At 41.7% G+C, this 26,393-nt stretch overlaps 1 protein-coding gene across 10 annotated transcripts, besides 4 other annotated features; it reads left to right on the forward strand.

Annotated features, from left to right (window-relative positions):
* ZNF234 (zinc finger protein 234) lies at window positions 3,156–21,915 on the forward strand. 10 transcript variants are annotated; one of them, XM_006722974.4, is made up of 6 exons: window positions 3,156–3,667; window positions 3,916–3,969; window positions 6,159–6,249; window positions 10,373–10,499; window positions 12,015–12,107; window positions 17,854–21,915. In XM_006722974.4, the coding sequence occupies exons 3-6, from the start codon at window positions 6,235–6,237 to the stop codon at window positions 19,719–19,721; spliced, it is 2,103 nt and encodes a 700-aa protein (XP_006723037.1). In that variant the 5' UTR covers window positions 3,156–3,667; window positions 3,916–3,969; window positions 6,159–6,234; the 3' UTR covers window positions 19,722–21,915. The 10 variants fall into 10 exon arrangements, with proteins under 10 accessions (XP_006723037.1, XP_016881638.1, NP_006621.1 ...); XM_017026149.2 differs by having other exon boundaries at window positions 3,156–3,335; window positions 3,773–3,969; NM_006630.3 differs by having other exon boundaries at window positions 3,156–3,335.
* Window positions 3,184–3,583: an enhancer, noted in NCBI's record as "active region_14754". NCBI's record gives its function as "activates an Ori minimal core promoter by ATAC-STARR-seq in GM12878 lymphoblastoid cells {active_cell/tissue: GM12878}" and the evidence as "EXISTENCE:reporter gene assay evidence [ECO:0000049][PMID:35858748]".
* Window positions 3,184–3,928: a biological region, named in NCBI's record as "H3K27ac hESC enhancer GRCh37_chr19:44645889-44646479".
* Window positions 3,338–3,928: an enhancer, noted in NCBI's record as "H3K27ac hESC enhancer chr19:44645889-44646479 (GRCh37/hg19 assembly coordinates)". NCBI's record gives its function as "activates a minimal SCP1, AML or CMV promoter by ChIP-STARR-seq in primed H9 embryonic stem cells {active_cell/tissue: H9 hESC(primed)}" and the evidence as "EXISTENCE:reporter gene assay evidence [ECO:0000049][PMID:30033119]".
* Window positions 3,594–3,643: an enhancer, noted in NCBI's record as "active region_14755". NCBI's record gives its function as "activates an Ori minimal core promoter by ATAC-STARR-seq in GM12878 lymphoblastoid cells {active_cell/tissue: GM12878}" and the evidence as "EXISTENCE:reporter gene assay evidence [ECO:0000049][PMID:35858748]".

Genomic DNA, 26,393 nt, shown 5'->3' on the forward strand with positions numbered 1-26,393 from the left:
GAAACTCCGTCTCAAAAAAAAAAAAGTATATATTTGCTAGTTTTGTCAGCTGAGAGGGTCAAGAATAAAAAACACTAAGGTAGCAGCGATCATACCTAGCACTCAGTTCTTTGTTTCTAACTACATTTTCCACAAATAGGAACCAGAAGTCCTAGGAGAAATATCTGATCTCATGGCTAGGGTAGGGAAAATACCCAATGAACTTGAAAAATACCTAATGAACTTGGAACACACAGTATCAGAAAGTAAACCAGTGCACAAAGAGCTCATATCATGATGAACAGGAGGAGCCAGAAGGCAAGAGGGGACTGCTTGAAGAGGATTTTACTGGCAAAATCTGAGACAACCAGAGAATCAAAATACATAATAACAGTAGTAGATGTGAACTCATTAATATAACAAGAATTCACAAATCCACACTGGTATAAACAAATAAATAATATAGATGGAAAGCTTTTTCTTAGAGCATAATGCCAAAAAATCAACATAGAATGAGTTGGAGTATCTCAGTTTTTCACCAGATAGTAGTAACTTTTTAGGGGAAAAATAATTTTAGAGTGCAGAATTCTGGAGAGAAACCCCTTAATCAACTGTTCAAGTTTAGCAGCACCAGTAATGGATAAAAACTAGTATCTGGTATATCCTGAGATCATGCACTAAGGACAGAAATTGATCATAATCCAGAAAGACATAATCTTGAATGTTGGAATCGCTGAAGATCAAAATGTTAAAAATATAACCCTGGAAAAAATAATTTTAAATTTTTTAGAAGATATTGACTGATTTACATTTCTTTCTTTTCTTCCTTTTTTTTTTTGTTTTTTTTTCTGAGACAGAGTCTCGCTCTGTCACTCAGCTGGAGTGCATTTCCCTTCCTTCCTCCCTCCCTTCCACTTTTTTTTTTTTTTTCTGAGACAGTGTCTCGTTCTGTCACCCAGATTGGAGTGCAGTGGCGTGATCTCGGCCTCCCAGGTTCAAGTGATTCTTGTACCTCAGCCTCCTGAGTAGCTGGGATTACAGGCATGTATCACCATGCCACGCCCAGCTGATTTTTTGTATTTTTAGTGGAGACAGTGTTTCACTATGTTGGCCAGGCTGGTCTCAAACTCCTGGCCTCAAGTAATCCGCTGGCCTTGGCATCCCAAAGTACTGGGTTTACAAGCGTGAGCCACTGCGCCTGGCCGAGATGGAGCATCTCAATAAATTTTGTCATTTGGAAGGGCCGACTAGAGCAACAATACAGCTGTAACTAGTATAGAAATAGCAGTCAGTCAATTTTCAAAGAGGGGGATGTGTGGCATTGTGTGGTTAGCATAGTAACCTTGTTTTTATGTAAACACAATTGTGAAAAGGTATTTTTTTAGTTTATAAAATGAATCTAGAATGTGAGACTTCATTTTTTAAAAAACAAAAATATAGATTGATAAGTGTATTAGTCCATTCCCCCATTGCTATAAAGAAATACGTGAGTCTGGGTAATTTATAAAGAGGTTTCATTGGCTCACACAGAGTCCTGCAGCCTGTAAAGGAAACATGGCAGCATCAGCTCAGCTTCTGGGGAGGCCTCAGGAAACTTACAACCATGCTGCAAGGCGACTAGGGAGCCAGCACTTCACATGGCCAGAGTAGGAGGAAAAGAGCGAGGAGTGAGATGCTACACAATTTTAAACAAGCAGATCTCATGAGAACTCTATCAGGAGAACAGCACTAGAGGGATGGTGCTAAACCATTAGAAACCTCCCCGGTGATCCAATCGCCTCCCACCAGGCCCCAACTCCAACACTGGGGATTACATTTCAACATGAGATTTGGGTGGGGACACAGATCTAAACCATATCAATAGGCCAATGTATGTTTATGGGGAGAAAAAAATCTGGTTATCTTTTTTTTTTTTTTTTTTTCCGTGACAGAGTCTTGCTCTGTCGCCCAGGCTGGAGTGCAGTGGCATGATCTCGGCTCACTGCAACCTCTGCCTCTCAGGTTCAAGCGATTCTCCTACCTCAGTCTCCCGAGTAGCTGGAATTACAGGCACGCACCACCATGCCCGGCTAATTTTTGTATTCTTAGTAGATATGGGTTTTCACCATGTTCTCCTGGCTGGTCTCGAACTCTTGACCTCATGGTCCGCCCGCCTTGGCCTTCCCAAAGTGCTGGGATTACAGGCGTGAGCCACCGCACCCAGCCCCTGGTTATCTTGAAGAAAGATTTTAGATGGGTTTTTTTCTGATTTTGCTTTATTCTATTATTTATTTGTATCAACCAATGTAAGCCAGATTCCAAATTGCTAACTATAATGACGATATTTTAACCAAAAAATATAAAGGAAGAAAATAAAATATGTTCCTTCACGTATAGGATCCTCCTTAATGCTACTGCATTAAATAAATCATAGGCATTGGGTGTCTGACATCAATGCCAAGCGCTTCACCAGTTATACTTGCTTTGAAGTATTGGGCAATTTAAGAGCTTCTCTGAAATTTGGTGTTTTTACCTCTTCAGTAGACATAATACCATGAAAAGTGTAAACGAAAGAAGATAGCTTTTCCATGAGGACAGGGCTTCCCCACTGGCCCTCTCAAATGATGATTGTTTTTCCTGCCAAACCAGTGGTACCACAGCGTCTGGAGTAGGGGCTGGCACCTTCTTTGTTCTTCATTGCCTCTCCCAAACCATTGTACTTGCTCACTCTTCCAACTTTTAGTTTTGGCCTCATATTATCAGTTTATAGTAATCAATCATCAATCATCTACTGACCCCTAAAAAGTCATTCCCCATTTAGTCCTTGAAGATTGTATCTCCTCGCTTGTTCTCTTTCCAATAATCCTCCGTAGTCCTGGGAGGCGTTTAGACTTCAGGAATTGCTGTCTATTCAATATTTTCGCTCAAGGACTCAGGCAGAGGGAAGGACGACTCTCAGGGTCACAGTCCACATTCCCTACCAAGCGCTCAGCGATATAGGATTCGTTCCCCATGGGCAGTGCGGGAATCGTAGGCAAGGAGCACCGCGGAGTCCCATCGCTTTTCCCTGAAGGGTGAGATTCTGAACGTTTTTCCCTCAGCATTCTGAGTGTAATCCAAACGCTCAGTGGAGTCGTGGTCCATTTGACCCACGCAGGGGGATCCGGGGAATTCTGGGAAATGTAGTCCCGCCAATCAGTGGAGTCGCGGGCACTTCCGCTCCAGGGAAGAGGGGGCGATTGTCACGGCACATTCCACGGTAGTTTCTTCCAGTTCCGCGACTCGCGGGCCCCTCCTAATGTCAGGGACTTAAGATTGGGGCTCGCTGGGACCTGGTGGTCCGGTTATGGGAAAAGAAGCCTCGTGGGAGAGCAGAGGTTTGGTGGGGCGAGGGCGGCGGCTTTTGTTGTGTCAGCGGAGCCTTCTTGGGCTGGGGCTCCCCTCGTGTCCCGCGGCGGGAGGCGGGGGGCATTGGGACTTGGTTGGGTCGCGTCTCGCCTGGTTTGAGGGTTTCCGGGGCTCTGAGCTCGCCCACTCCGCCTCCCTGCACTCCAGGCGCGCAGTCACTTTTTTACAGTGCAAGGTTGGCGTGTTAATCTCCCTGGGCCTCTCCTTGCTGTTCTTTAAAATGGGGACGTTAGGACCATCTTTGTAGAATCGTTTTGGTAACTGGAATAGGTTACACAACACAAACAGTCCCTGTCACTTGGTGAGTGGTGGTTTCTTGTTACTTTCCCACGAAACCTGTTAGGTCCCCCGGTGGGGTCAGAGCTCCAGCAGCAGGGGCCTCAGCCCTTATCTCTGATCCCTGCAGGACGCTGGACGATCCCGGACGCCTTCTGACCTCTTTTTAGGCAGGCGAGGGTTGCGTCCACTTCCACGAAGGGAGGGGAGCATTTAACTTTTCTCAGGGACAGCGACCCAGTCAGGATGTTTCACAGCTTTCTCCTTCCCCAGCCTGAAAAAGGACTGCGCGGACTGACTTCTTGGCTACTGAAAGCAAAGCTCCACGTGAGTGTGACTTGTCATTTTTCTTTTACAGAGACTGTATCTTTGTAGCATGTGTAATAGGGCATGGGCATTTATAATAATTAAGCCTTAATTGCTAACTTCAATTCTAGGGGATTTATACAATTAGATACGTTTAAGCCGCAACGTGACTCTGTGGAGAGGTACTGGTCATCCAAGTAGTAAGAGGTGAAACTTGGGTTGGAACCTAGGCATTCAGGGTCAGAGCCCGAGTTGATCATCTCTTGGATATATTCTCATTGAGGCAGAGGAACTAGCTGTACTCAGGTGGGGAAAGTAAGTTAGAACTTGATTAAAGGACCTTAAGAGCAAGGCTAATTGCCTTGGAGTTTTCTCAGTTTTTAAAAACTGTCAACTATTTTGTTTCATTTATTACAAATATTTCACATTCTAATAGAACCGTATCACTGTGAAGCATTCAGAAATTACAGAAATACGAAGATACAAAAATTGTAATTACCTATGAAATCAGGATGTAAAGATAGTAATGGTTAAATTTCTAATGCATTTTGTTTTAGTGGTTCCATGTTTATATTACTTATAAATGTTTTACAAAATTTTTATTATACATTTCTCAATGTTTTTCTATTTATCTGCTTATCCATGGAAATTTCCAGATAAAGAGATAATAAACTAGTGACCTGCCATATTCTATCATGCTCATTCTTATTCTTCTCATTATTATTTCTCCTATGACTATTTCCTGATTTTTTAAAAAAACTTTAACACAGTAATTATATAATTTTAAGTCTATAGAAAAGTTGCAAAAATAGTATAAGAGGGCAGGGCATGGTGGGTCATGCCTGAGTCCTGAGTTATGGAACTGAGGCACTCAGGGTCACAGCCCGAGTAATCCCAGCACTTTGGGAGGCCAAGGCCTGTGGATCACTTGAGGCCAGGAGTTTGAGACCCGCCTGGCCAGCATGACAAAAACTCGTCTCTGGCCGGGCGCGGTGGCTCACGCCTGTAATCCCAGCACTTTGGGAGGCCGAGGCGGGCGGATCACGAGGTCAGGAGATCAAGACCATCCTGGCTAACATGGTGAAACCCCGTCTCTACTAAAAATACAAAAAATTAGCCGGGCGTGTTGGCGGGCACCTGTAGTCCCAGCTACTTGGGAGGCTGAGGCAAGAGAATGGTGTTAACCCGGGAGGCGGAGCTTGCAGTGAGCCGAGATTGCGCCATTGCACCCCAGCCTGGGCAACAGCGCAAGACTCTGTCTCAGAAAAAGAAAAAAAAAAAAAAAAGAAAACCCGTCTCTACTAAAGATACAAAAATTAGCCACATGTGGTAGTGCGCGCCTGTAATCCCAGCTACTCTGGTGGCTGAGGCATGAGAATCGCTTGAACCCAGGAGGAGAAGGTTGCAGTGAGCCAAGATTGCACCACTGCTCTCCAGCCTGGGCAACAAGAGCAAAACTCTGTCTCAAATAAATTAAAATAAAATAAAATTAATTTTTATGAGTAGATATACTTGTTAGTGGGCAACATACTGTAAAGACCAGCATCCCCTGTTCCCCTGTTTGCTTATTCATTCATTCAAAAGTAAATATTCTATCAATATGGACTCAGAACGCAGTCTTGTTAAATTAAATGACATGTAGATTAATAATTTTTTTCCAACTTTATTGAGGTGTATTTTATGTATCAGAATTCACCCATTTCAAGTGTACAATTCAGTAATCTTTAGGAACTTTGCTGAGTGTAGTAATCATCATCATCATTTAGTTTAGATCATTTTCATCCCCCAATTGGACTCCTCTTGCCCATTTACAGTTAATCCCCATTCTTATCCTAAATCCCCATCAACAAGTAACCTACTTTCTTTATAAACATTTGTCTGTTCTGAACGTTTCATATACATGAAATCATACAATCTGTGGTTTGGTGTGCCTGGCTTCTTTCACTCAGCATAGTGTTTCCAAGGTTCATGCATGTTGTAGCATGAGTCAGTACTTCATTCCTCTTAATTTCCAAATAAGATTCCATTGTATGGATATGCCAGGATTTGTCTATCCATTTTTCCATAGGAGGGCATTTTGGTTGTGTGCAGTTTGGGATTATTATGAATAATGCCACCGTGACCATTCGTGTGCTAATTCACAGTACACATCTGTGTTGGTGGGGACATCCCTGGCCACGCTTTCATGTCTCTTTTTGTGTCTTCCATAGTGTTCCAGGCACGATTCTGCCTTCTCTCAAATGGCATAACTCAGGACTCTGCAAATTCCCAGAAACAGGAGGAAAAATGACCACATTCAAGGTGAATAAGGCTTGCCACTCTTGCTGTTAAAATTCCATCTCACTATTCTCATGTTTCCTGAGGAAGACTCAAGAACAACGGGCATTTGAGAACCTGTTTATGCTAAGTGCATCCTTCTGCCTTTTGAGTTGACTTTGTTTTTAGATGTTGTTTATTTTATTATTTCAGTTGACCTTCTGTATCTGTGGGTTTCACATCTAGGGGTTTTGCGTCTTTGAATTTTGCATTTGTGGATTCAACCAACCACAGATTGAAACCTGAGTCTATGTAAAGCTGACCATACATATTTTCCTTTTGCGGTTGATTGAGTCTGTGGATGTGGAACCCATGGATGTGGAGGGCTGACTGTAGTACAAACACTATTTTAGATAAGGGACTTGAGCATCCACAAATTATGGTATCCTCAGGGGTCCTTGAACCAATTCCCCAAGCGTATTGAGCGACAACTGTATTTATTTTATGGAGTAGAAAAATTGGTGTGAATGAACAGTTCTCCTACTTTACTTCTCTGCTTACGTATTAGCTGTTTTTATTTTCTTATAGTCTTTTCCTAATGTGCATTCATAACTATATTGGTATTCATGATATATATCTCATTTTTGTTATTTTTTCCTTAAGTACTAAATAATGTTCATTTTTTGAGGTTATGCCATATACCCATTTAATTAATGTGCCTTTTTATTTTTGACTACTTCCCATTCATGGACATTTAGGTGATTTAAGAATTTTATTGTTTTACATAACACTGCAATGACAATTTTCCTACATAACCGTTTCCTCAAAAATCAATTCTGAAAACTTTCTGCTGATTTTTTTGTCACCACAACCTCTGCCTTCTGGGTTCAAGCAATTCTCCTGCCTCAGCCTCCCGAGAAGCTGGGATTACAGGCATGTGCCACCATGCCCAGCTAATTTTGTATTTTTAGTAGAGATGGGACTCCTCCATGTTAGTCAGGCTAGTCTCGAACTCCTAACCTCAGATGATCCACCTGCCTTGGCCTCCCAAAGTGCCGGGATTACAGGCATGAGCCACAGTGACTGGCTGTAGATAGAATACTCTAACATGGCACAGCACAACAGGCTATAATGCTGCTTCACACAAATAATATTGTTGGAGTTTTCATATAGGAAGAGCTAGATTCTGTGTGCTTTGTGCCTCGATCATACTTTGTATGTATTTTATTTACTAGTGTCTTATTGCCTTTATAAAGTAACCAGTTTGACCAAAGTAGTAGGTAATAACCTTCATTTAAAATGTCCAGTGACACGGAAGATTTGCCAGTCACTTGTGTTCTGTTACTGTATTTATTCAGAACAGCAGAATGAGGAGGTTTGTGGTCTCTTCTTCCTCTTAAACAGGTGAAATATGAGAAACCTTCTCAGATTGGCATAGAAAGTCAGGGGTCAGAAACATTAGCCATTCCATTTAAGTGAAAGTGAGAGACAAAAGGAAACAAATATTTCTCAATGAATGACCCGTGGTGTGGGTGTCTGGAGTGCCCTGTTGGGTGATAACGTCCACAGGTAGTGGGGGACCTCTTGTGTTCCTAATGTGGTGGCACCTCAGATGCACTAAGATGCTCAGCACTCCAGGTGCACAAGGACAGTGATTAGCACAGTGGTTATATAAAGTCTTTAAATTACTCTACGGATATCCCCCTCAGATAGTGGTTTCTCGGGTATATACCCAGTAATGAGATGGCTGGGTCAAATGGTATTTCTAGTTCTAGATCCCTGAGGAATCGCCACACTGTCTTCCACAGTGGTTAAACTAGTTTACAGCCATCATTCTACTGTCAATTCTACTAATAAGTGGTTCATTCAACCTCTGCACCCTCATTACAACACAAGAACATCTCTGAGGAGTACCCTGAAGCATGGGGATCAGGGGGTGAGGTTTTTGGTAAGTGTTTTAGTGGGTGTGACAAAAGATACCTTACAGAGTATTAAGAGAAAAACAAGTTGGGGCAAAAATATTTACCACACAGGTGCCAAAAAAGATGAAATTCATAATAAACATTGGTATTCATTTATAATCAAGTAAGTAAGAATAATAGAATTGTTCTTCCTAATTAGATTATCAAAACCATTGGAAAATTTATAACCTGCTTTTGGTCATCATATAGAGAAGCAAGGTGCTTGCATTCTCTCTCTCTCTCTTTTTTTTTTTTTTTTTTTTTTTTTTTGAGACAGAGTCTGGCTCTGTTGCCCAGGCTGGAGTGCAGTGGTACGATCACGGCTCACTGCAACCTATGCCTCCCGGGTTCAAGTGATTCTTCTGCCTCAGCCTCCTGAGTAGCTGGGACTACAGGCACGCACCACCATGCCTGGCTAATTTTTGTATTTTTAGTAGAGATGGGGTTTCACCATATTGGCCAGGCTGGTCTTGAACTCCTGACCTCATGATCCACCTGCCTCGGCCTCCCAAAGTGCTGGGATTACAGGCATGAGCCACTGCACCCAGCCAAGTGCTTGTATTCTCTTGAAAGATTAGGGAGGCAGGAAAAAAGGAAGAAAATCTGCCATTATGTGGTCATAATTTTTAATGTGCTTTTTTTCTGATGTTTTATTTTTTATTTGCAGTTATTTAGTTTAATTTATTTTTTTGGGACGGGGTCTCACTCTGTAACCCAGACTAGAGTACAGTGGTGTGATCATCGCTCACCACAACCTTGATTACCTGGGCTCAAGCAATTCTCTCGCCTCAGCCTCCTGAGTACCTGGGACCACAGGCACACGCCACCACATGCAGCTAATTTTTTGTACTTTTTGTAGAGACAGGGTCTCACCATGTTGCCCAGGCTGGTCTTGAACTCCTGGGCTCAAGCAATCCTCCATCCTTGGCCTCCCAAAGTGCTGGGATTACAGGTGTGAGCGACTGTGCATGGCCTGCAATCATTTTAAATACACACGAAGGTAAGATCTGACAGTCGGGTGACTCATGCCTGTAATCCCAGAACTTTGGGAGGCCAAGGCAGGCGGATCACCTGAGATCAGGAGTTCGTGACCAGCCTGACCAACATGGTGAAATCCCATCTTTACTAAAAATACAAAATTAGCTGAGCATGGTGGCGCATGCCTATAATCCCAGCTACTCGGGAGGCTGAGGCAGGAGAATAATTTGAACCCAGGAGGCAGAGGTTGCAGTGAGCCAAGATTGTGCCATTGCACTCCAGCCTGGGCAACAAGAGTGAAGCTCTGTCTCAAAAAAAAGAAAAAAAAAAGGAAAGAAAGTAAGATCTACATGAAATGATGTTCTTTGCTGGATTGGTTATAATGAAAACAATATTGAAAATTAAATATTCATTAATTAGAACAGGTAGATGCAGATTTCAGTTCCCTCGAATAATATACAGTCATGAAATGAGGTGAAATAGATGATGATGGTAATAATAATAGATAATAGCTAATGTTTCTTAGGTACTTAGTCTGCGCCATACACTATTCCAAATGCTATATGTAGTTTCTTTTTCAACGTTTGAAAGAACTCTGTCATGTAAGAACTATCATACCAAGATGAAACTAGGTGAACTTATCCAAGATCACACAACTTTGAAGGGTACCCTTGTGTGCACTGAGGCATGATGGCTCCAGATCATGACACTAAATGCTGCAGGTAATGCTGGTGCTGTGTGCCCTGGGTGTACAGAAGGAAAACTACATAGCAGTTTTAGATATGTTACCAAAAGCTTGTTAGTTTGGCAGACTTTAATGAAAAGGGATAGCATCCAGCGTTCCTATGTGAGAGAGGAGGAAGGTGGGTGTTATCATGTATGTTGGTTCTGACTTGCTAAATGTTTCTGGGGCAATTGGTAATATTTACCGAAAGGTGAAACCCGTGTGGCTCAGGATGCGTCATTTAGAGTTCTAGATGGTTACTTACAAATAGACTCAGTGAAGCCACAAAGGAATTGAAGGCTATTGTTACTGATGTACTTTTACTGACACTAAGGAAAATCAAAGTGTGGCATTGGTAAGATGGAAGGAGAAGGGCTGAGAAATCTACACATTAAGTCTCTGAAAATCTGGACCAGCTCCCCCTACATACTCTCCACTTTCTCAGTGCTGTTTCTTTTCAAGAGTTTGTTAAAAAGGCTGAAGTAAGGTGTGTTTGATGTTATAGGAGGGACTGACCTTCAAGGATGTGGCTGTGGTCTTCACTGAGGAGGAGCTGGGGCTGCTGGACCCTGTCCAGAGGAATCTGTACCAAGATGTGATGCTGGAGAACTTCAGGAACCTGCTGTCAGTGGGTGAGGACATGAGCTTTCTAACACTCAATGTCAGTCTCTTGGAGTGATTTTGTGTCTTCAGGGGTTCAACACTTTGGAGGTCTTGAATTAGTCGCCTACATTTGTAGACCTGACTTTCCTATCAGTAGTTTTTAGTGAAATAAAATGAGATAGAAATATCAGAGTTCACTAAAATTAATGGAATACATAGCAAATAAAACTGGTAAATTGCATGAGTGGTGTGAGAACTTGTGGGAGGAGATTTAATGAAAATAAACGGGGGCCAGGCACAGTGGCTCACGCCTGCAATCCCAGCACCTTGGGAGGCTGAGGCAGGTGGATCACCTGAGGTCGGGAGTTCGAGACCAGCCTGGCCAACATGATGAAACTCTATCTCTACCAAAAAATAAAAAATACAAAAATTAACCAGGTGTGGTGGTGCATGCCTCTTATCCCACCTACTTGGGAGGCTGAGGCATGAGAATCGCTTGAATCCAGGAGGCAGAGGTTGTAGTGAGCCTAGATCACGCCACTGCACTCCAGCCTGGGTGACAGAGTGAGACTGTCTCAAAAAAAAAAGACATTGGTTAGAAATGTAATTTTAGTAATGCACCAAGATGTAACAGTTTTTCTGTTGTTTGAGATAACACCTGGAGTTTTTTGTTTTATTTTTAAGAAGATTAATGAGTGCAGACAGAAATGTGAGGTTAGAGTGAAGGTTTAATAAGCAAAAGAAGAAAGCTTTTTGCCAGCAGAGAGGGGGACCCAAATGGAATTCCCCCTATGAGGCAGGGGTTTGGGGTTTTTATGGACTGGGAAGGGGAAGGAATGTGCTTAGTTTGTGGGCTATTTTGGAGAAAGTGTGACTTAGCTTGGCCCGGAACCTTGGCCCAGGACCAATCAGGTTGAAGTAAAGATATATAGAGACCGGACTTACAGTTTGAAAAAAAGAAAGTAGAGTGCCCACTGGAACCCACTGGAGCCCACTGTACCTATGCCCACAAAAGGAGAAGAAACCTTTTCCTGGGAGCCCGCTGACTATACAGAGGACAAAGGCATTCTTATGCCAGGCCTTGCTCCTTTATCTGAGCGAGCTGGAGGTATGTACAAGCTTTTATCCAAATGGGCTGGAGGTTTTTCTATCTGTGCAGCCGTGGGCATGTCTCCAGGCACAACACCCTGTGGTAGTTCCCTTATTGGTGCCTGCAGCTTAAATTTTTTTTCCAGGCTGCTTTTTATGTTATATAAAAATAAGACACTAACCCATGGGTCAGGGGCTCTCCAAAGACCCTTCCCTTGCTGTCTACCTAAGGCAAGCGAACTAACTCCTTTCAGAAATAGGTTTTTATAGCACATATTTATGTCTATGTGTCTGGATCTTGAAATACTGATATTTCTTCATTAGGTTCTTCTAAAAGTGTTTGAAAACACTACTTTTGATTGATTGATCAGTATACAGTAGTAATTCAAATTGCCAGTAAGTTCAGTTGTACCTTTAGTGTGTTTGTTTTAAATATGTGACTTTGCGTGTTCTAGGGCATCACCCCTTCAAACATGATGTATTCCTTTTAGAAAAGGAAAAAAAGCTTGATATAATGAAGACAGCAACTCAAAGAAAAGGGAAATCAGGTAAGAACCAAGCAGCTAAGAGTCCTTGTACGTGATTGTCCATCTGTTGTACTTCTCTCCCCTGCTCTTGCTGCCATCGGGTCCAAATTGCCAAACCTCTGTCCTGGATGATTGCAACAGCCTTCGTACTGGGCGCACTGCATCCACCCTCAATAGTATAAAGTATGTTCTCCTACAGGCGTTCTCCATATCATAGCTAAAGTGATCCTTTGGAAATGTAAGTCAGATTGCCATTCCTCTACTTAAGACCTTGTACAGGGCTGGGCACAGTGGCTCATGCCTGTAATCCAGCACTTTGGGGGCCAAAGCAGGAGGATCAGGAGTTTGAGACCAGCCTGGCTAACATGGCAAAACCTCGTCTCTACTAAAAATACAAAAATTAGCCAGGCGTGGTGGCCAGCGCCTGTAGTCCCAGCTACTCAGGAAGCTTAGACAGGAGAATCGCTTGAACCCAAGAGGCAGGTTGCAGTGAGCCAAGATCGCACCGCTACACTCCAGCCTGGGCAACAGAGCGACACTCCATCTTAAAAAAAAAAAAAATACTCTGAATGGCTTCTTATTTTTCTTAAAGTTGAAGTCTCTTAAAGGAGCTTATAGAGTCCTGCGTGGTCTGCTGTTCATCCTCCTCTGCGTCTCTGACTACATCTCCTGTATTCTACCTCTTGCTCCATCTTTTCCAGCCACATCATCCTCCCTGCTATTTCCCAGACCTGGTAAGGACATTGCTCGCTCTGTCGCCCAGGCTGGAGTATAGTGGTGCAATCTCAGCTCACTGCCACCTCCGCCTCCCAGGTTCAAGCGATTCTTCTGCCTCAGCCTCCCAAGTAGCTGGGATTACAGGTGCCTGTAACCACGTCCGGCGGATTTTTGTATTTTTTATAGAGACAGGGTTTCACCATGTTGGCCAGGCTGGTCTCCTGACCTCAAGTGACCCGCCTGCCTCAGCCTCCCAAAGTGCTGGGATTACAGGCATGAGCCACTGTGCCCGACCTGGACACTGCATTTCTTACTGCTGCTGTAACATATTACCCCAAACTGAGTGGATTAAATGATAAAAATGTATTGTCTTTCAGTTCTTTGTTTGAAGTCCAACATGGGTCTCACTACGCTGAAATCAAGCTGTCAGCCCGTCCCTGTTTCTTCCCGGAGGCTCTAGGGAAGGAGAATCTGTATCGTTCCCTTATCAGTGTGTAGGGGCTGCCAAATTTCATAGCTTGTGGCCCTCTTCACAGCCAGCAACAGTGCTTCTCTGATCATTCTTCTATAGTTGCATTTCCCTTTTATTCTCTCTTCATCCTTTTTCCACTTTATAAGGACCCTCTAATTGCACTGGGCCCACTTGGATAATGTAGAATTGCCTTCTATTTTTAGTTCAGCTGATTTGCAACCTTAATTCCCTCTGCAACCTTAATTACCCTTTGTCATAACCTGACATATTCTTAGGATGAGAATTAGAACGTGGATTCTTTGGGGGTTGATTATTCTGCCAACTACAGATACTTCTGCCTCAAAGCCCTTATTTGCCCTTGTCTTTGCCTGGAAAAACTCACCTACAATCCTCTCGGCCCCTCTCTTACTTCATCCTGGTCTCTGCTCAGTTTTAATTTCACAGTGGTGGCCTTTTCTGACATCCTTACTGGAAATGCCATCCTTTACTCTCTGCCCTACCTTCTCTTGTGTCTCATAGACTTTGGTTTACTTGCTTGTCCCCTCTCTCTCCCCACTGGAATATAATCTCCAAGAGTGGAGGAATTTTTTTGTTTGTTTGTTTATTACTCTATCATCAGTGCCTAAATAGTCCTGTTACATGGCAGATATCTGTTAATATAAATATCTGTTGGCATAATGAAGGCATTAATGGATGGATGTGACCTCACTCTAGGGGTCTTGCAGCTAGGACAGGTCATACACAAACCAAAATGAATGAAGGGGGTTGCAGAACGTTATTTGTTTTCTGATGGCTGCACATCCAGTTTCTTCTGCCTTAGGTGCCCTTCACGTGAATGTTTGTGTGTGCACTTGAACCTCATACCATGAAAACTTACAAGCATCGTGGTTGTGACCACACTTTGAGTAACAAGCCTTCCCAGTGGCTTTCCTGGAGGCTTCCATCATATGGAACACATTCATTTCTGGGAAGGAATAATTTTTGAATGAAGATTCTGATGTCTACTTCTGAGATAGCTCCCCCCACAAGAAGATAACTATTTCCTAAGGTGTCAGATAGTAACTAGGTTGCAAACTGCTTTCCTTTCAGCACACTGCCCATCTGAACCTCATTTGCTTCTTCCAAAGTGCCCATCCGTATCACTGCCCCCAGGTTTTGCCTCCCCTGTGCCAGAGGTGGAAGATTTAAGATTTGAGTGGCAAAAGTGACACAGCTGAATGTTGCCTGACTCTCTGGTTCAAAAATATGCTGTGCTTTTATTTTCTACAAATGTAGTAGCCATTAAGCATATATTAAAGAATATAGATGTCATACAATTTTTCCTTTATTTTTATAAAGACCTGGCTTTTATGTTCAACTAGTTGACATTATAACCTGGGAAAAATGAAGAAACTTCTTGCTCAAAATTGTCACATCATCATAGAGACTTGTCCTCCTCAAAAAAACTACAATTTTTAAGGGTCAGTTTGTTAAATCTAATCATGTATTCATCATATATATATATATATATATATATATGCGCCAAGAGTTACATACTCTCCTATGAATATTTTCCCAAGGTGTCACGGTTGGAAATTGTCTTTCCATTTGAAGCAGTTTGTTTAATTAAGGACCAGGTAACTTCTAGAACCAAAGTTTTTGAGCTCTTTTGAGCATGAGCCATAGCAAGAAACGCATTTTTCATTGAAATTAGAACAATGAAACAAACATTTCATGTCTGTATAGATTGATATTATAGCTTTAGTAAGCATTTCAGAAGGACCCCTTTCCTGCTGGTGGTAGTACTCTGATAGTTTCTATCCTGGTTCTTTTATTCTGAATGCTTATTACAAGCTTTTAAATTTATTTCACAGCTCACTAAAGGGCTACAGTTTTTAATTTGAAAAACTGTTGTGAAAGGCCCAACTTACCTACACTGAGAGCTTCAGAAGGAACCAGTGTATAGGGCTTCCTGCTTTCTTTTTATCCCAAGTGATTCTTGCCACCTTCAAATTTTCTTATTAGCCTCACCCTGGATATACCTGTCTCTTGTACAACTTTTCAGCTTCTCTGCAAAATTACAATTTTCTGTTCTTTTCCTATTTCAAATAACATTTGGAAAAGATGCTTTTCTCCTAGGACTTGGCTTAAATTCTCACACAAAAAAAGTCAAGTTGGGGTTCATTTATTCATTTGACATGCATTTATTGAGCATTCACTGTGACAGGCACAGTTCTGGACAATGGTTATAAAGTAGGAAAGTGTAAAACGAGTATTATGTCAAAATTAGAAAATGCTTCCCTCATTGATGCTGCATTGTGGTGGGAAGGACATACATTAAACAACCAGTAATTTAGTGTGTCCAGTGGTTAAAAGTGCTGTGAAGAACATAGACAAATTCAAGTTGCTAGAGGTGAATTGGGTGAAGACAGGATTCATTATTTTTCAATGAGTAATAAAGCAGCCCTCATTGGTGAGCTGACATTGAGCAGAGACCCACAAGACGTGAGGAACCATCCATCTCGCTATCTGGGAAGAGTTCCTCCCTGAATATAACTCCTGCTGTGGGGGTGGCTTTCAAAGTTTACACTGTGACATCTTTTTCTTCTCCCTGTCTCCATCTCAATTGTGAAAGATTGGAGTCTACTTCTTTTTCACTTTTTTTTTTTTCTGGAGGTCTAAATTACTGTCAGCTTTTAGAATAATACATGTTATCAGTTCAACTTTCTTTCCCTTTAGTCCTCATGTAGGAAACTTGCTGACAGAAGCTAAAGTTTCACCATCTGCTTATCTGCTAATATTTTAGTCAGTATGTGGTTAGGTACTTGCTCCCAGCCTGCAAGTCATGTTAACCATTCCAGTCACCTGGATATTGAAGTAACTTTCCAATAAAATGACTCAGGGCAGAGTTATATAGACACCATTTAACAAATGTCTACTGATACAAAGGAGGAGGTAGATTTTTTTCTCTTTTTCTTTTTTTTTTTTTTTTTTTTTTGAGACAAAGTCTCACTGTGTCCCTCAGGCTGAAGTGCAGTGATAAAATCATGGTTCACTGCAGCTTCTAACTCCTGAGTTCAAGCGATCCTCCATCTCAGCCTCCCAAATAGTGTTAACTACGGGTGCGTGCCACCACATCTGGCCAATTTTTTTAAAAGTTTTTTTGTAGGGCCAGAGTCTTGCTATGTTGCCCAGGCTGGTCTTGAACTCCTGGGCTCAAGTGATCCTCCGGCTTCAGCCTCCCAACATGCTTGGATTACAGATGTGAGCCACTGCACCCTGCCAAGAGGCAGCTTTTAAATGACTATTCCTGCAGGAGGGGAGTAAGTTTTTCCTCTGTAAAAATTTCCTTAGAGGTACGTCTTTCTGCTAAACTTTTGTGGAAGAGTTCATTTAAAAAATAATTTCCAAATATTTATATCTCTTTATACAAGATTAAACATTTTGGAATATTATTAAGGATAAACCTTTCAGAAGGGTTTAAACATTTTAAATCTAAGTTATATTAGAAGTGGTCAAGAGTTTATAATAGTTGTCAGCTCATTTAATGTCTGTCAACACAGAAAAATAAGATTAAGTGTATATGTTATGCAGAATATTCAAGAATATGGTTGATCCTTGAACAACTTGGGGGTTAGGGACACCAACTCCCCTCACAGTAAAAAATCCAAGTATAACTTTTGACTCCCCTCTAAAACTTTACTCATGGCCTACTTTGACTGAAAGACCTACTGATAACATAGTCAATTAACACATATTTTGTATGTTATAATGTATTGTATACTATATTCTTACAATAAAGGAAGAATTCTTTATTCTTACAATAAAGAGAAGAGAAAATGTTATTAAGAAAATTATAAGGAGGAAGAGGAGGGGTTGGTCTTGCTGTCTCAGGGATGGCAGAGATGGAAGAAAATCCATGTATAAGTGAACACATGCAGGTCAAACCTGTGTTGTTCAACGGTCAACTGTATTTTGAACATGTAAATATAAACATTTCAGGTTATTTAATAATTTGAATATGTAACATGAACCTAAACTGCAAAATATTTGATTATTTTCTTACTTTCCCTTGAAGTTCTTGTTGATTTATATTATCTACATTTTTTTTTAACTTTTAATATTTTTAATAGAGGTACATTCTTGCTTTGTTGCCCAGACTGGTCTCAAACCCCTGGCCTCAAACTATCCTTCTGCCCCAGCCTCCCAGAATGCTGGGATATACAGGCATGACCATGCCTGGCCTATGCTTTTTATATTTAGATAATTTACTATTTATTATTCTACACTGACTTTAAAATTCGATGGAAATGGCAGTACAATTTGTATCATGTTAATTTTTAAAATTAACTCTGACTTCTAACTTGTGTCTCACATAGGAGACTTGGTATGGTCTAATGCCTGGTAGATAGCAGCCAATTGGACCACCTCTTGATTTATCTAGGCATGGAAATCAGAGATCATGATACACAGTGGAAAAGACCATTACACAAACTGGACCTTCTCTGGATTTGTTAAAATCGCATGCTCTCGCCTAAGTATGACATCTTGAAAACTTTTAACAGAGCCTCCACATCTCTGAATTCTCTGTCCTTACAGCAGACAAGATCCAAAGTGAGGTGGAGACTGTTCCAGAAGCAGGACGACATGAAGAGCTTTACTGGGGGCAAATCTGGAAACAGATTGCAAGTGATTTAATCAAGTATGAAGACTCTATGATAAGTATTTCTCGGTTCCCCAGACAAGGTGATTTGTCCTGCCAGGTTAGGGCAGGACTATATACAACTCACACAGGACAGAAATTTTACCAATGTGATGAGTACAAAAAATCCTTCACTGATGTCTTCAACTTTGATCTTCATCAACAGTTACACTCAGGAGAGAAGTCTCATACATGTGATGAGTGTGGAAAAAGCTTCTGTTACATCTCAGCCCTTCATATTCATCAAAGAGTCCACATGGGAGAGAAATGCTATAAGTGTGACGTGTGTGGTAAGGAATTTAGTCAGAGCTCACATCTTCAAACTCATCAGAGAGTCCACACTGTAGAGAAACCATTCAAATGTGTGGAATGTGGGAAAGGCTTCAGTCGTAGATCAACACTTACTGTACATTGCAAATTACACTCAGGAGAGAAACCTTACAATTGTGAGGAATGTGGAAGGGCCTTCATACATGCTTCCCATCTTCAGGAACATCAGAGAATTCATACTGGGGAGAAACCATTCAAATGTGATACATGTGGTAAGAACTTCCGTCGTAGATCAGCACTTAATAATCATTGCATGGTCCACACAGGAGAGAAACCATACAAATGTGAGGACTGTGGTAAGTGTTTCACTTGTAGCTCAAACCTTCGTATCCATCAAAGGGTCCACACAGGAGAGAAACCTTACAAGTGTGAAGAATGTGGTAAGTGCTTTATTCAGCCTTCACAATTTCAGGCCCATCGGAGAATCCACACTGGAGAGAAACCATACGTATGTAAAGTGTGTGGTAAGGGTTTCATTTACAGTTCAAGTTTTCAGGCCCATCAGGGAGTCCACACTGGAGAGAAGCCATACAAATGCAATGAGTGTGGGAAGAGCTTCAGAATGAAAATTCATTATCAAGTGCATCTGGTAGTCCACACAGGGGAAAAACCCTATAAATGTGAAGTATGTGGTAAAGCCTTCCGTCAGAGTTCATATCTTAAAATCCATCTGAAAGCACATAGTGTACAGAAACCTTTTAAGTGTGAAGAGTGTGGGCAGGGCTTCAATCAGAGCTCACGACTTCAGATTCACCAGCTGATCCATACCGGTGAGAAACCATACAAATGTGAAGAGTGCGGAAAGGGATTTAGTCGTAGAGCAGATCTTAAAATTCATTGTAGGATCCACACAGGGGAGAAACCATATAATTGTGAGGAGTGTGGGAAGGTCTTCAGTCAGGCCTCGCATCTTCTAACCCATCAGAGAGTTCACAGTGGGGAAAAACCATTTAAATGTGAAGAGTGTGGGAAGAGCTTCAGTCGGAGTGCACACCTTCAAGCCCATCAAAAAGTCCACACTGGAGAAAAGCCATACAAATGTGGGGAGTGTGGAAAGGGCTTCAAGTGGAGCTTGAACCTTGACATGCATCAGAGGGTGCACACAGGAGAAAAACCCTATACATGTGGGGAGTGTGGGAAGCACTTCAGTCAGGCCTCAAGTCTCCAACTTCATCAGAGTGTCCACACAGGAGAGAAACCATACAAATGTGATGTATGTGGTAAAGTCTTCAGTCGGTCTTCACAATTACAGTATCATAGGCGAGTTCACACTGGGGAAAAACCTTACAAATGTGAGATATGTGGTAAGAGGTTCAGCTGGCGATCAAATCTTGTAAGTCATCACAAAATTCATGCTGCTGGTACATTTTATGAAAATGATGAGAATAGTAAGAACATCAGAGAGTTGTCAGAGGGAGGAAGTTCTACAAGGTGATTAAAAAAAAAAAAACAGAACTCATGTACAACCTGAATGCTTGTAATTAGATTTCATAGGAGGGAAAAATTTTCTTTATCAACCTCTTTGAATTTATTTGATTTGTAACGCTCCACATTTCCACCTAGACTTTTTTTTGTTTTTTATTTTTTGTTTTGAAACAGAATCTCGCTCTGTTGCCCATGCTGGATGCAGTGGTGCTATCTCAGCTCACTGTAACCTCCACTTCCCGGGTTCAAGTGATTCTCCTGCCTCAGTGGATTACAGGTGCACACCACCACGCCTGGCTAATTTTTGTATTTTTAGTAGAGATGGAGTTTCACCATACTGGCCAGGCTGGTCTCAAACTCCTGACCTCATGTGATCCACCCACCTCGGCCTCCCAAAGTGCTGGGATTACAGGCATGAGCCACCGCCCCTGGCCTCCATCTAGACTTTGAAATGATTGCCTTCTAATTACAGTAGCATTCTCTTATTTAAAATATTTGTTTTATTTAAGTCAGTGTTTAAGCAATAGCTCAGCATATCCCAGTGGTCCAGTGACCACACAGCTGAGAACCCTTGTTAAGTGGTACAGTAAAGCATTCTGTCAAAACTTTGACATTTATGACATGTTACCTAGGAAATAGGACTTAGAAAATGAGTTTGACCTGGGCTTTAAAAAAGTATACTGATGAAGGTGCCAGAATTGATGTCCATTAGACTGTAAGCTCCATGGGGGCAGGAACTTTGCTACCGAATCTATACAACCTTAACATTGACTAGTGCTTGTAGGTGTGCTCAATACTTGTTTGTTAACTGAATCAAAAGGAGTAAATGCACAATATTTGAACATTGTATCCAAAGGAAGAAACCTGCGAAATAAAATTATTTGCAGAAATGAACATTTGTTGAAATGCAGAAAACCACTGGATACTGCAGCCTACAATATTAATATGATATTACTCTTTTACAGTTGACACCTGTCCTCTCTGTAGTCTCTTCTCTCAAATTTGGTTCTTATTGAGAGCCTGTCTAGTTTCCCAAAGGTTTTATAAAACATAAGTTGAAGTACCTTTATTTTTAATTTTATTTTTGAGACAGGACCTCGCTCTGTCACCGAGGCTGGAGTGCAGTGGCATAATCATGGCTCACTGCAGCCTCGTCCTCCCAGGCTCCATCCATCTGCCCATCTCTCCCTCTGAGTAGCTGGGACCACGGGCACGTGCCACCACACCCAGCTAATTTTTGTATGTTTGGTAGAGAAAGGGTTTCACCACATTGCCCAGGCTGGTCTTGAACACCTGAGCTCAAGCAATCCAACCTCCTTGGCCTCCCAGTGTTAAATTACAGGCGTAAGCCACCACACCCGGCCAAGTTGAAGTATATTTTGTGATTTTTCTGACAGTGCAGACTGAAAAAAATTTAATTAACCTGACAAGAGTTTACTGAATATCACACAATTGAGTTTTTAATCCATTAATGTTAAGGCAGGGGTTTACTCTAACACTTTTAAAGTGTCAGAAGTAGTTGCCAATGCCAAATTTTTATCAGCCCCCTTGAATTTATTTGATTTCTGACTTTCCACATTTCCATCCAGACTTTGACATGATTGCCGTCTAATAACTGTAGCATTCTCTTATTAAAACTTCTGGCTGGGTGTGGTGGCTCATGCCTGTAACCCCAGCACTTTAGGAGGCCAAGGCAGGTGAATCACCTGAGGTCAGGACTTAGAGACCAGCCTGACCAACATGGTGAAACCCCATCTCTACTAAATACAAAAATTAGCTGGGCATGGTGGCAGGCGCCTGTAATCCCAGCTACTCAGGAGGCTGAGGCAGGAGGATTGCTTGAACCCGGGAGGCGGAAGTTGCAGTGAGCCGAGACTGCGCCATTGCACTCCAGCTTGGGTGACAGAGCAAGACTCCGTCTCAAAAAAAAAAAAAAAAACTTCTGAGGTAGGGGCTGTACCATATTTTTGCCCCACACCCATTAAGCGAATACCAAAAACAACTTGTGGAAATTTGATAATTTTATCAAATTTATTATTTGGGCAGGATTGGCATTTACCATGCTTTTCCCTATTGCTGGCAGTAAAACATGGGTTTAAGGAAGAGTGTTTTTCAGAATTTACACTGTATATCTCTGATTTGGAAGTTATATAATTGGAATTTATGATTATGAGATTAAAATACCAAAAAGACTAAGTAACATATCAGTGATGTCAATGAATTGTTTTAAATGGAAGTGTGTGTTCCTCTATAATAATTTGACTTTTGATATTTTCATTCCTGTATTGACCTGAAGCTATTAAAATGGCGGCAGGTATCTGTAATGACAGGATAAAGAAAAAATATGGGCTTTGGAAGATCATAGACTATTGCCTTTGTAGCATAATGAAATCTATACATTTTTATGAGTGAGTGTGTATGTACATGCATAAGATAATATGTAAAGGATACTTTTTTTTTTTTAGCAATTTTCTCTTGCAATGAGCATTTTGTGGTATTTTTCCATTTTATAATTCCATAAATTACATTTTAATTTCTTATTGAACATCAGTATTACCAAAGCAGTAAATTATGTACATTAGAATTTTAAAAAGTGCTATATGATAATCCCTTCAAAATATGATTGTTCTATATTGTTATATGGCACATAAGATCATAATTAATAGATTCTGGAAGCCAATTTTAAAAACAAAAAAATTCTCTGAATATGTGGATAAATGGATGAGTGTGAACAATTGTATCTTTGCAATTAATGTCTGCTACACTTCTTTTTTTTTTTTGAGATGGAGTCTTTCTCTGTTGCCCAGGCTGGAGTGCAGTGGTGCAATCTTGAATCACTGCAACCTCCGCCTCGCGAATTCAAATGATTATCCTGCCTCAGCCTCCTGAGTAGCTGGGATTACAGGGGCGTGCCACTATGTCCAACTCAGTTTTTTTTTTTTTTTTTTCCCCGAGACGGAATCTCACTCTGTTGCCAGGCTGGAGTGCAGTGGCGCAATCTCAGCTCACTGCAACCTCTGCCTCCCAAGTTCAAGCAATTCTCCTGCCTCAGCCTGCTGAGTAGCTGGGACTACAGGTGTGCACCACCACGCCCAGCTAATTTTTGTATTTTCAGTAGAGACGGGGTTTCACCATGTTGGCCAGGATGGTCTCGATCTCTTGACCTTGTGATCCGCCCTCGGCCTCCCAAAGTGCTGGGATTACAGGTGTGAACCACCGTGCCTGGCCTAAATTTTGTATTTTTAGTACAGACGAGGTTTCACCATGTTGGCCAGGCTGGTCTCGAGCTCCTGACCTCAAGTGATCTGCCCGCCTCGGCCTCTCAAAGTGCTGGGATTACAGGCATGATCCACTGTGCCCGGCCTTGCTTGCTACATTTTTTAAAGCATTAATCTGTAACACAGAGAGAATCCTGGAAATGAAAACAAAGTGGTATACATATGTTAGGGAGGTATGTTTAAAAAGGTTCACTGAGGAAAAAGTGTGCATAAGAGCAGAATATAGTGCAATCCACTTACTGGATGTGGAACCAGTAAGGACAAAGAGTGGGTTTGAATGACATTCCATATTCCTTGGACATGATGGTGATATTTTCAGTGTAGTTGATTAAAGCATGGGTCCCTAACCCCTAGGCCACAGACCCTGTTAGGAACAGGGCCAGACAGCAAGAGGTGAGCAGTGGGCAAGTGAGCAAAGCTGAGTTCTGCCTTCTGTCAGATCAGTGGCATGAACCCTATTGTGAACTACGCATGTGAAGGATCTAGGTTGCAGCCAGGCGCAGTGGCTCATGCCTTTAATCTCAGCACTTTGGGAGGCTGAGGTGGGCGGATCACCTGAGGTCACGAGTTGGAAACCAGCCTGGCCAATATAGTGAAACCCCATCTGTACTAAAAATACAAAAATTAGCCAGGCATGGTGGCAGGTGCCTGTAATCCCAGCTACTTGGGAGACTGAGGCAGGAGAATCACTTGAACGCAGGAGATAGAAGTTGCAGTGAGCCGAGGTTGCGCCATTGCACTCCAGCCTGGGCAACAAGAGCGAAACTCTTTTTTTTTTTTTAAAGAAAGGATCTAAGTTGCTCGCTCCTTGTGAAAATAAAATGATAAATGTAATGTGCTTGAATCATCCCCAAACCATCCCCATCCCCCCACCTCACCTTGTGGAAAAATATTGTCTTCTGCAAAGCTGGTCCCCTGTGCCAAAAAGGTTGTGAACTGCTGGATTAAAGGGCTTTACTCAATAAATTATATCTAACTGGGGAGACTTTTTTCCACTATTGATTTTCTTCAGTATACCTTCACTGGATGCTTGCTACTCATTAAGGTCCATGCTACCTCAATGTGCATGGTATGCTGGGGATTGATAATACCACCTTCACATTCTTGTAATTCACTAGGAGGACTCAAGACACCCTATGTTATCATAGTCACTATGATTTATTGTAGTAAAAGATACCAAGTCAGTTGAGCAAAGGGAAAATGTGCATGGGATGAAGTCCAGAAGAAATCAGGTACAGGCTTCCAATAATCCACTCCCTGTAGAATCATTCATGATGTACTGTTTTTTCAGCATTGAAACATGTGAAATGTCTACCCAGTAAGCTCAATGGAGACTTAGTGCCCTAGGCACTACGTTGTGTTTTGTTTTGGAACTGGTCACATAGGCCAGCTTGGGCCAAAATTCTAGATTCCCAGAAGGAATTCAGCATAAATCACATTATACAAATAGCCGGGGCATGGTGAGCCACTCTCATCAGAGAATTGTGGAAATCCTCCTGAAATTCAAGTTCCCAGATACCAGTCAAGGGCTAACCTTATATCTTGCGCTGCTATAACAGAATACCACAGATTAGGTAATTTATAAACAATATAAATTTATCTGTCATAGTGCTTGAGGCTGGGAAGTCCAAGGTCAAGATGCTGGCAGGTTTAACATCTGGTGAGGGCTGCTGCTGTCTGCTTCCAATATGGCATCCAGTTGCTGCATCCTCTGGAGGAGACAGATGCTATGTCCTCATATGGTGGAAGTGATGAAAAAGCAAGAAGGGATTAAGTTTTAACAAGGGAACACCATCAAACTATAGCATGTTGCAAGCAGGCCTTTTAAGTACAACAGTCTCAGGCCTATGTTAACTCTTTTCTGAACAAAGGGCTTCAGAAATCCAGTACCTATATTCTTTTCTTTCTTTTTCTTTCTTTGTATCACCAGATACCACATTAGGTCATCTTCCTTCAAGGTAATTTGTAACCAAAACCAGTAGACTAAACCAAATAATTTCTTGCCCCTCTGCCCCATAACTGATAAGACTGTAGGTACAGTCTACATCTACCCTCCTCATGACCAGAGTTTTCAGGTTAGTCACAAGACAGCTGTAGAAGCTGGGAGCTATCTGGCTTTGTTTTTGGTTGGTTGTTGTTTGTTCACAGTCAAGAGGAGAGAACTGTTTCATTTGTAATATTGTATAGTTCATGTCTCCCAAAATGCATGGCTACTCTAACTCCCATTCACACACAAGATTAATTCCTTAGCTCTTACCTAGTATGCCCAGCCCTTGTGGGATCATTCAGTTTTTTCATCTGTGGGCCTAACTTGCCTGTTCATCTTTGGCCGTTGGGATTTCCCTGTCTTAGCTTTGAGTTTAGCTACATTTTAACGCTTTAGGGGATATTGTCACATAACATTTTTCTATCTTTGAAAAGATCCACAATATTATGTAATGATTACCACTATCTAATCCTAGAACTCTTTCATCTGCTCCCAAAAGAAATCCCCTACATGAGCTGGGTGTGGTGGTGCATGCCTGTAGTCTCAACTACCCAGGGGGCTGAGGCGGGAGGATCACTTGAGCCCAAGAATTTAAGGCTGCAGTGTGCTATGATCATGCCTGTGAATAGCCACTGTACTCCATTCTGGGAAACATAACAAGACGCTGTCTCTAAAAAAGTAAGAAAAAAAAAACCCTACATATTGACAGTCACTCCCCATTCCCAACTACATCTCCCCAGCCTTGGAGACAACTAATTTACTTTCTGTCTCTATGGACTTGCCTATTCTGCACATTTGATATAAATGGAATCATACCATATATGGTATCTTGTGTCTGGCTTCTTTCATTGGACATAATGTCTTCAGAGTTCATCTATGTTATAACATGAATCAATATTTTGTTCATTCACATTACTAAATAATATTGCATTATATGGCTAGACCACATTTTGTTTATCCACTCATCAGCTGATGGACATTGGGTCTTCTCCACTTTTTGACTATTATGACTAATGCTGCTATGAACTTTTTTAGAACAAGTTTTTGTGTGGATATCTTTCAGTTCTCCTGGGTATTTACTTAGGAGTGAAATTGCTGGCACATAAGCCCCAGATCGGGTGCCAGCAGATTCAGTGTCTGGTGAGGTCCCGCTTTCTAAGTCATACATGGTCCTTCTGGCTGTGTCCTCACATAACTAAAGAGGCAAAGGAGCTCCCTCAGGCCACTTATAAGAGAGCATTAATCCTATTCATGAGGGCATTGCCCTCTTGATCTGATCACGTCCCATAGGTTCCACCTCCTAATATCTTCTTGGGAGTTAGGATTTAAACATACGAATTTGGTGGGGGCCATAAACACTCAGACCATAATAATACCTAAAGAGAAGTGAGGGATTCTGGGAAATGAAAACCAGGAG

The sequence above is a fragment of the Homo sapiens genome, chromosome 19 (assembly GCF_000001405.40).
Source record: "Homo sapiens chromosome 19, GRCh38.p14 Primary Assembly".
In the NCBI taxonomy this organism is placed as follows: Eukaryota; Metazoa; Chordata; class Mammalia; order Primates; family Hominidae; genus Homo; species Homo sapiens.